This window comes from Homo sapiens, chromosome 6, assembly GCF_000001405.40.
Source record: "Homo sapiens chromosome 6, GRCh38.p14 Primary Assembly".
In the NCBI taxonomy this organism is placed as follows: domain Eukaryota; kingdom Metazoa; phylum Chordata; class Mammalia; order Primates; family Hominidae; genus Homo; species Homo sapiens.
In genome coordinates, this window is record NC_000006.12 from 87,989,398 (window position 1) to 87,999,216 (window position 9,819).

At 38.3% G+C, this 9,819-nt stretch overlaps 1 long non-coding RNA gene across 1 annotated transcript; it reads left to right on the forward strand.

The window, feature by feature from the left end:
* The first annotated feature begins 3,406 nt into the window (after positions 1-3,406).
* Positions 3,407-8,936, forward strand: LOC107986541 (uncharacterized). The gene is made up of 4 exons (XR_001743884.1): positions 3,407-3,513; positions 5,549-5,721; positions 6,146-6,331; positions 7,754-8,936. It is a non-coding gene; the product is annotated as an uncharacterized LOC107986541 (long non-coding RNA).
* Positions 8,937-9,819: the final 883 nt, after the last annotated feature.

Here is a 9,819-nt window from a genome sequence, read left to right on the forward strand (position 1 = left end):
GAGGATCATGAAAAATAACTAATGGGTCCTAGGCTTAATACCTGGGTGATAAAATAATCTGTATAACAAACCCTCATGACACAAGTTTACCAATGTAACAAACCTGCACATGTACACCTGAACTTAAAAGTTAATTTTTTTTCAAAGGGAAAAAAAAGTGGGTAAAGGACCTGAACAGACATTTCTCAAAAGAAGACATACAAATAGGTACATGAAAAAATGCTCAGTATCACTAATCTCAGGGAAATGCACATTAAAATCACAATGAGATATCGCCTTACACATGTTAGAATGGCTGTTATCAAAAAGATGAAAGATAACAAGTATTGGTGGGTCTGCAGAGCAAAGGGAACCCTTATACATTGTTGTTGGGTATGTAATAGTACAGCTATTATGGAAAACAGTATGGAGGTTCCTTACAAAAACCAAAAATAGAACTATATGATCCAGCAATCTCATATTTGAGTGTATATCCAAAGGAAATGAAATCAATATGTTGAAGGGATATCTGCACTCCCATGTTAATTGCGGCATTATTTACAATAGCCAAGATGTGGAATCAACCTAAGTACCCATGAATGGATCCACAGATGAAGAAAATGTGGTATGAATACACAATGAGACATTATTCAGCCTTTCGTAAAGGAAATTCTCTTGTGACAATATGGATGAACTTGGAGGACATTATGCGAAGTGAAATAAGCCAGGCACAGAAAGACAAATGATCTTACTTATATGTGGAAACTTAAAAAAGTCTAACTCCTGGACATAGCGTAGAACGAAGGTCACCAAAGGCTGCAGGGATGGGGGAGAAAATGGGAAGTTGTTAGTCAAAGGGTACAAAGTTTCAGTTAGTAGGAATAAGTTTTGAGATCTATTGCACAGCAGGGAGACTAGAATCAATAATAATGTATTGTATATTTCAAAGTAACTAAGAGTAAATTAAAAAATGACTCACCACAAAAAATGATAAGTGAGGTGATAGATATGTTAATTAGCTGGATTTAGTTATTCCAGTTGGTATACATATATGAAAACATCACATTGTGCCTCACAAATGTATAAAATTATGAATTTTCAATGAAAAATATTCATTTTTAAAAATCAGTGATTGTATTATAGTCATATAAGAGATTATAAACATTTCCTATTAACATTAGGAAAAGCTTGATGAATGGTTTATGGGAACTCTGTACTGATTCTGCAACTTCTCTGTAAGTCTAAAATTATTTCAAAATTGAAAGTTAAAAATATCCTTTTGGCAGCAGTGTGGAGGATGAAGTAGAGAAGTAGGCTGGAGGGGGGTATTGTGGTAATCTGGGGTGAGGAAGGTCTGAAATCAGACCACAGCAGAAGGCCTGGAGGAGAGAAGAGGGTGGATGAGAGAAATTTAGGAGTGAGAGGAGTCAGGATTCAGTGACTGGATGAGGCTGGAGATGGAGCCATTACAGGGACAAGGCTTGCACGAAGTGATAATATTCTTCCTTTAGCAGGAGAAAGAAATTTAACTTTGAACCAGATGTGAGATGAGACCACATGTTAGAGGGTGTTTGAAGAAATTGAATGACTGCCTTCTAGCTGAGTAAGATTTTCAAGTGAAGTGTAACTGTGTCCAATCCTCTACCAAAAGAGAATACACAGCAGGACGGCTGCTTTCAAGACCAGAGGAGGGCCAGGGCTTTTTATGTGAGCACCATGAATTTGTGTATGAAGTAGGAAGAATGTGAGAGGAGTCACTAGACCCTACAGGAACTCACAAATTCTCAGGCGTGTGATGTTTCATGGAACCCTGAATGCTTCTTTGAAAATGATGGAAATCATATAGTAGCCTTAAGAAAGATTCATGAAGCGAGTGTTGTGTTAAACTCTAGTCTCAGAGTGTTAGTTCTAAATTATTCCCAGCCTTGGGTAAAATCCCTTAATGGTTTTTTTTCTTTATCATTTGATCAACTGCAGTGACCTAGAGCTATCAGCTAGATTGAATTAGAGGGTTACCCTTCCTCAAGGAAGGCAGGTGGAAATACACCGTACAAAGCCATTTCTCAGGGATAATTTATTTTCTCCTTTAATTCACAGCTGGCTATTTGATGGTAAGCTAATTGGCTGAATGTGAAATATTTAGATGTTTTGTTTCATATGATATCCCAAATTGGTTTATTTTACAGGCTGAATTTACTGAATTAATCAATTATGTGACTGTCATCCAATTATTTTCCTGTCAACCATTCCAAAAGTGTGAACATTTCCAATAATGCTAAGAATTACTTCGAAAAGTTTGATGTAGTTTGTCTTTTAAAGGGTGTTTCAGAGGAGATAAGTATCCAAATATATATTAAAAATGTAAATCTTGTATTTCACGTTGTATTATTGGGTGCATTTTTCTAATGATTTAAGAGATTAGATGAAAACTACTTCGGAAGCTATTGTTTCCCAAATCTTAGGCTTGGTAATAAGAGAAGAGGGAAACACAGCCAATTAAGAATGGTTTCTAGCCAGGCACTGTGTGTCATGCCTGAAATCCCGGCACTTTGGGAGGCCGAGGCGGGTGGATCACCAGGTCAGGAGTTCAAGACCAGCCTGACCAAGATGGTGAAACCCTGTCTCCACTAAAAATACAAAAATTAGCTGGGTGCGGTGGCAGGTGCCTATAATCTCAGGTACTTGGGAGGCTGAAGCAGGAGAATTGCTTCAACCCAGGGGGCAGAGGTTGCAGTGAGCTGAGATCACACCACTGTACTCCAGCCTGGTGGACAGAATGAGACTCTGTCTCACAAAAAAAAAAAAAAAAAAGAATGCTTTCTGTGTGCATAAGACTGTAGATGTCATGAAGAGAGTAAGATAAAAGAGAAGAAAGAAAAAAATCAAAATGAAAAAAAGCATTGTCCTGGCCTTCCAGGAATTATAATAAAATGAAAGCATAGTTGGCTATCTTATCTGTCTATAGAAAAAGAAAAATAGAACCGTGATTTCAGGATCAAAAGAAGTACAAATTGAACATTTTGAAAGTATGCATTTAAATGCTAAATAGGGGCTGGGCGCGGTGGCTCACACCTGTAATCCCAGCACTTTGTGAGGCCGAGGTGGGCAGATCACTTGAGGACAGGAATTCGAGACCATCCTGGCCAATATAGTGGAACCCTGTCTCTACTAAAAATAATAATAATAAAATAAAAAATAAAAATTAGACAGGAGTGGTGGCAGGCACTTGTAATCCCAGCTACTCAGGAGGCTGTGGCAGGAGAATCGCATGAACCCGGGAGGTGAAGGTTGCAGTGAGTCAAGATCGCGCCACTGCACTCCAGCCTGGGCGACAGAGGGAGGCTCCATCTTAAAAAAAAAAAGTGCTAATGAGGAACATATTTATAAACACCCACAATAATAATGCCTTTTTGTTTTCTAAGGTGCAAAGAAGATGATAAAATATAATCACGAAAAGTCAGATGAAAACACAAGCCTCCAGGAAAGTTGCAGCCAACCAATTTCACAATCTTGTTCCAGGAGTGCCTGACCCAGGTAATAACTTTGATTCACAACTCAGACATTAGAAAAAGCAGCTATGGAAATTAATCTAATGGACAACATAGTTGTTTGAATTTTTACATCGGAAATGTCTGAATCTCCATCTTCCTAAGGGAGACACTTCGGAGGCAGTCATACTGACAGTTGTAGTACTGAAACCTGTGTTGTCCTGTCACTAAACTGTAAAATGCAAGATGTTTGGAAGACTAACACATAAACTGGCCCAAACTGGTCAGGATGATTGTTTTCCTATCTTTTCTCACCATGTTGTAGTCTATCAAAAAGAGCTGTAGTCTGCTTCTGGATAGAAAAAAAGAAGTTTTTTTGACAGGCCATCACAAAACAGCTATTTTAAAATGAGCAGTAGATTTTAATCTTAGTAGACTAAGGGTGGCTTTTGTCACACACTTTTGACTACCTAAATTGAAGGCTTTCAAAAGGAAAACATTCAAAAGAACCCCCAGTGAGTCAGCAAAGACTTTGAAAAGATTGTGTATATTTTCTAAAGCATATTTTTAAAAAAATCATGTACAGGGGGAAAGTGTAGAACATGTACCCACAAGAGCTAAATTTAAAAAGTGTGCGTACAGTGAACACATGCGTAGCATATGGATGCGGCTGACGGAAGAGGGCCTGGCCTCCATTCAAGACACCACTCACAGCAGATGCACCGTCATAAATTTGAGCTACACAGCCACATCCTTGCTGGTCAGGTTCCAGTCAGTTGTCTTTGAATCCAGTATGGTTAATGTACCCTCAAACTCCAGTTTTCATTTTGGTAGGAGGGAAGAGAAATTCCTATGTGCAAAAGCCAAATTGCACACATCCCAGACTGATAAATAGTCATTCATTCTTTACCTCTTGCGAGACATTGGCAAGTAAAATCCCTGGCAACTTTTCATTTCAGCTTTTTAGCCTAACAGATTTTGCCCATTGTCTGTCATCTGATTCCAACATGCATCAAGGATGGACAGTCAGACTTGATAGGATTACCACGTTTTCTAGTATTAAATAATATTTCTCAAACAAATTAAAAGGCTCTGAATGTAACAAGTAGTAAGAAAACCCTTACTACTTTTCCTTTTGTGTTCTCTCGACGCCCCAAAAAAGTACTACATTCATTTATTTGCTGGTGAGGTTCTTGGTTGTTCACTTAAAATGGTGACACAGGTGCTAAAACATTTTTAACATATTTGTGAACTATGTAAGTATCTTACAATTCAAATCAAATCTTTGAATTATCTCTATATGGACCTAAAGATGAAGTAGTTTATTACTGTTCTCTGCAGATTCATGCAATAACTGAGGACTTTGATGATGAAAGGTGCAGTGTTCAGCCAGACCAGCAACGGGTGAAACGTACCGTCTCCACAAATCAAATAGATGGTCGTCTTTGGTCCTCACTGGATGGGTAGAGCAGATGTTGGTAGGGAGGGGCCTGCTTTGCACAATCCTTTGGACAAATAATTTGATAACTTTGGCAGAATTGAATCTACTAATTTGATTCTTAGAATTCTAGGTGGTGGAACAGTACCAGATGCCTCACAAAATATTAGCATCCATGTTTAACTGCTCCTCATCACATCCTCTTCACTCCTCTTTGGGGAGCTTCATTTTAAATTAGATGCAGCTGCGGAGTGAAAGATTTCTTTCATGTTCCTATTTAGTATGAAAACAATAGCAAAAATAAACATTCAATTTCCTAACTTTTCGGAATTCTTCCTTTGGCTTTGACATTTTTTTTTTTTTAATGGGAGAGGGACGGTTTGATCAGGGTGCTGTTTTAGAGACCATCTAACAGAAATTCCATGGAGAACTATTTGTTTTTCACATTCTTCCAGCAAAATTCACTAAATGTGCCTGAGGTGCTCATTTCAAAAATTGCATATAAGCAGGTTATTTTCTCTAATTCTGACAAGTTTCAATCACATATTTATTTCATTTGATTCATTTTAGTGAAGTGGACATTAATCCTACTTTGTTTAATTTCATTGCTCAAGGAATTAATGTGTCATTTGTTGGTTACTAGGTTTCAAAAGAGAAGGGAAAAGAAACACTTGGGAAAAATGGAAGTTTCATCTCTGGCCTGCATTACAGCTTCTGGCATATTTTTAGATGCCAATAAGTAATGTCAAAGAAACAGCTGTTAAAATGATCCTGCTTAACAGCCATAAAGGAATGAAGATTTCCACAGAGAGCTTTGTGAGTATACCTGGCATGTGTATCATTGTTTGACTTATTTCCACTTGATAATCAGGGAAGTTTAATTCTCCTTTCTCTCTTTCTCATTCTCCTCTTGCCATGAGTTTTCTTTTCTTTTGTCATAGCCTTGCAAGTTGCAAAGAATTGCTGTTTTTCAGCTCCCTACAGTGAAATAATGGGAAACAGGAAGTCTACTCTCTTTGTGTCATTTGGGATAACTCATTCTGGAGTTTGTTTCTTGAGTTACATTTGCCTATAGATACAAAGTGATCTAAAGGGCAAACCAGAAAGGGAAAGCCTAGAATAGCCTCTTTGTCTGGGGCCTTTCAAATCTCTGCAGTCATTAATACTTTATCGACTACCTGTGGAATAAGAAATGTCTGGGTTGGCTGCTTCTAGCAAAAAAAGTTTATTTTCCCTTCAGATCAGTCTCCGTGGAGCTGCCATTTCCTGCTGACTGCGAGACAAGATGGAGTGCCAGATTGTCATTTAGTTTAACTCCATGGAAATGAGGCAAGGGAATCTGACCATGATTAAACCTTTGCATCCAGCAAAAGAACACAGGGCAATCAAGGAAACCTTCTGCTGGCCCTCGGGGGACAGACTGTTGGTAAGTTTGCAAGACGTGTTAGGCTGGCAGACGGGGAGTCCCCAGGAACACAGAGGTGACAAAAACTCTTGGCATTCATTTATTCAGACCTTTCATTATGCCAGAATCGAAGCACTTCCTTTAAGGAGGCTGCCCTAAAGATATGGCTAGCTTTTATGACCAAGAAAAGGTAAACAGAAAAACAGACCCATCAGAGGAATGACCAACCACAATGCTCAGGAGAGGTCTAGCACAACTCAACCATTCCAGCTGTTTTCCTGACTTCTGTGTGTGTACATACATGTACACACACACACACACACACACACACACCCCTTTGTCAACCTCAGTTTTGCAAGTCTCTTGTTCAATTGCTTGTATAGGACTTAGAGGAAAGAGAAATGAGCATCAAAATAAACTTCTTTCTTTCTCTTTCTCTCCAGTTCTTAATTCTTAAATTCCCTAGTTTAAATGAAACAATTTTAAAAGACAAATTTACTTAGAGCAATAATAGCCACTTTAAAAAATTTGTAAAGTATCTTTTAAAATTCATTATAAAAGCATATTTTGTGTGTCAATTTTGCAGATAGATTTAAAAAATTTCTGGGTTCCCCAAAACATTTTTGTTTGTCTTCTCACATTTGCTTGTAATATGTGTAACAGCAATGTGGACCTAGCCATTACGTGCATCTAGACCTAAAAGTGTATAATGTGGTTCAGGTTTTGTGGGTTGAAATTTAAATTTCCATAAATTATCTTGCTCACAGTCCAATTTCTGTTAAGCACCAATTTAATTTCTTGCAGGTCTCAGGCTTGTGGCTTCATGCTAATTTGTCAGGCTGCTGGTGTTGTATTGATTAAGTAGTTATATTCTTAAGGACTTTTCAACTAGTAGCAAATTTATATTTATTAGTTAGCTGGACAGAATAGGAATACTCAGCATGTTGCCCAAGTTTCAGTTTAGCACTTAATTTTGCAAACTGTTTTACACTGCTATTTTTGCAAATTATTTCCCACAACAGTCCTGTGAGATAGGCTAACGATGTTGTCCAGAAGCTGTCTAGGTTTTAGAAACGGTACATGATGTGTCCTGAGACAGCAGCAGAGCCAAGATTAGAATTCACAGTTCCTGGGGCTCAGGCAGCCACGCCTTGCCACCCATTCAATATGTCCACCCCCTTCTTTTAATTATATTAAGTTTCAGTGCCACTGCAGAGTAACAGATTAAGATAAAATAACACCGTTCAAATGGAAATGGAGTCCATATCCGCAAAGGCAGAGCCTGGCATTCAGTGTCCTGAGTGGTGCCTCTTGAGGGGCTGAATGCTCCCTTTCCTCTGCAGTCCCCTAGAGAAATGGCTCCCTGACAAGCTCTTTCTAGCCCTCTTCTGAGTCAGGATGTTTGAACTGAAAAATTATTTAGTTCAACTCCTTGTTTTGCAGATACGGAAAGCCAGGTCCGGAGAGATTGAGTTTTGCCCAAAGCCTCAATGCAAAATTGGGTCAGTGTCATGGGAAGAACCCAAATCTCCAGATGCTGCCTTCAGCACTCTGTTCCCTGAACTACCCTGTTTCTCAAGACTGGCTCCTGAACCACTTTCCATGGAGTTAGAAAGTGAATGGAGGTATCAGTCATTGTCCATACAGCATGAATTTGGAGGGTTTTCTAATTTAAAGGAAGCCTAGGGCTTCACATAGCTTGTAGACAGAAGATGAGATTAAAGTAAAAGAACTGATAAGTAATATTTTCTATTTCGTCAAGTAATGTTACCAGCTGTGTAATGAGAGCTATGTCTACAAAATCCAGAACGAATTGGAGACTTCAAATTGTTACTGCAGATAGCTAAATCAAACTAATTATCCGGGCCTCAAATAGAACTTTGTGGTCTGAATGAGATGGAGAATAATTTGTACTGTAAGTAAATTCCGTTTCTTCATTGTGAAAAACACACATTCACCTGTCCAAACCCAAAGAATGGACTCAGAGACACGAAGAACAGTGAAAGCAAGTCTTTTAATGGTGGTCTTGCAAGATAGGGTGTTTGGTAGGTAGGTTCATCCGGGGCAGTTACAGAAGGTAATTTATCTCCTAGCATGCAAGTCCCTCCCTTAGGTCCTCATTGGTTGAGTACTGTGGGGTTACAATCTTCCCGGATGTCGCCTAAGTTTCATGATCCCCCTTATAAGGTTATACCCCACCCCCCTCCCTGCTTAAGTTTCGATTTCCCGATAATGAAACTTTCTTCCCTTTTATGGGCTGACCCCTCCTCTACATTCTGTTCACTTATCGTGACCTTCTAGGTGCATGAGATGTGCGGTTTGTTACATCCACAGGCTGGCCGCCAGTACTTAGATTTATCATGCCTTGAAAATGGACCATTTAAAATGTTTTTTCACATTCGTGATAATTGTTAATATGTAAAAATGTTGGGTGAGAAGGCCCAAGTTAGAAAAAAATAACCCAGTGCAATACATGCTTTTGAAAATGTATCCTGGGACCAGAGCTTCCCATACGTCAGTCATTCACATACAACTGCCACCATTTTTACTATATCTGCATGTTTCCATTAAATTCACTTTTTAATATAAGTAAATGTATGAAAAAAGAAAGCTTTGTAAAACTATAACATGGAAAACCAGTATAATTTGCCAAAATCAATTAAAGTAAATTTGCAATTATAAAAACCTTAAAAAGTTTATGTGTGCTTTTATTAGAACCATCTTATGCATGACCAGCAGTGTGTGTACTGTGCCTTGGGAGACGTTGGTCTAGGCTAGCAGTAACCAATATTTTTTAGAGGTAGGGGGAGGAAACTCAGAACCATTCTATTTGGCCTCACACAGATAGATACTTGGAAAAGAAGTATATTTTCATCATCTTAGAAAACTGTAGATATTCTTCTTTGGTTCTGCAACAAAGCTCAATAATATAGATTATGAAACGAAATCAACGAACTTTTACTTTAAAGTCTATTGGTCTACCTTGCACTTTGAATGAATTTCTTTACCCATGCCTCATTTTGTAAAAGGATGCATTGATTATTTGGAAAACATTGTTTCGCTGGGCTATGCAGAGCTTCCAAATTTTGGCAAAAAATCATATTTTTTTAATATCACCACCAGCCATGTAAGGAAAGTATTTAAACTTTGGAAATCTGTTAATCTCATGGTGGCAGATACAAGTTTCCAAAATTCTAATTTTTACCTGAAAGCTCCCACTTTATTATTTAGGACAAATACTGAAAAACACAGGTTCTTTTTTTCCCTTCAGTTGAGAGGTCCACTTAGTTCATTTTCAAGAAAATGTCATTACATACCAAAGTCTCAATAATCATAGTTTGTCTGCAAGTTAAACTTCCTCAAATCAAAGTTTGTAAGTCTGAAAGTCTTAACAGAAAACTGGCTGGTGCTTTGTGACAAAGGTGGCTAGGTCAGCTGCAACTCAGCCACACAGGTGGTTTTCCTTGAGACAACCGTTGTACTTTGCTATGAAGCAGTACTTCATGTGT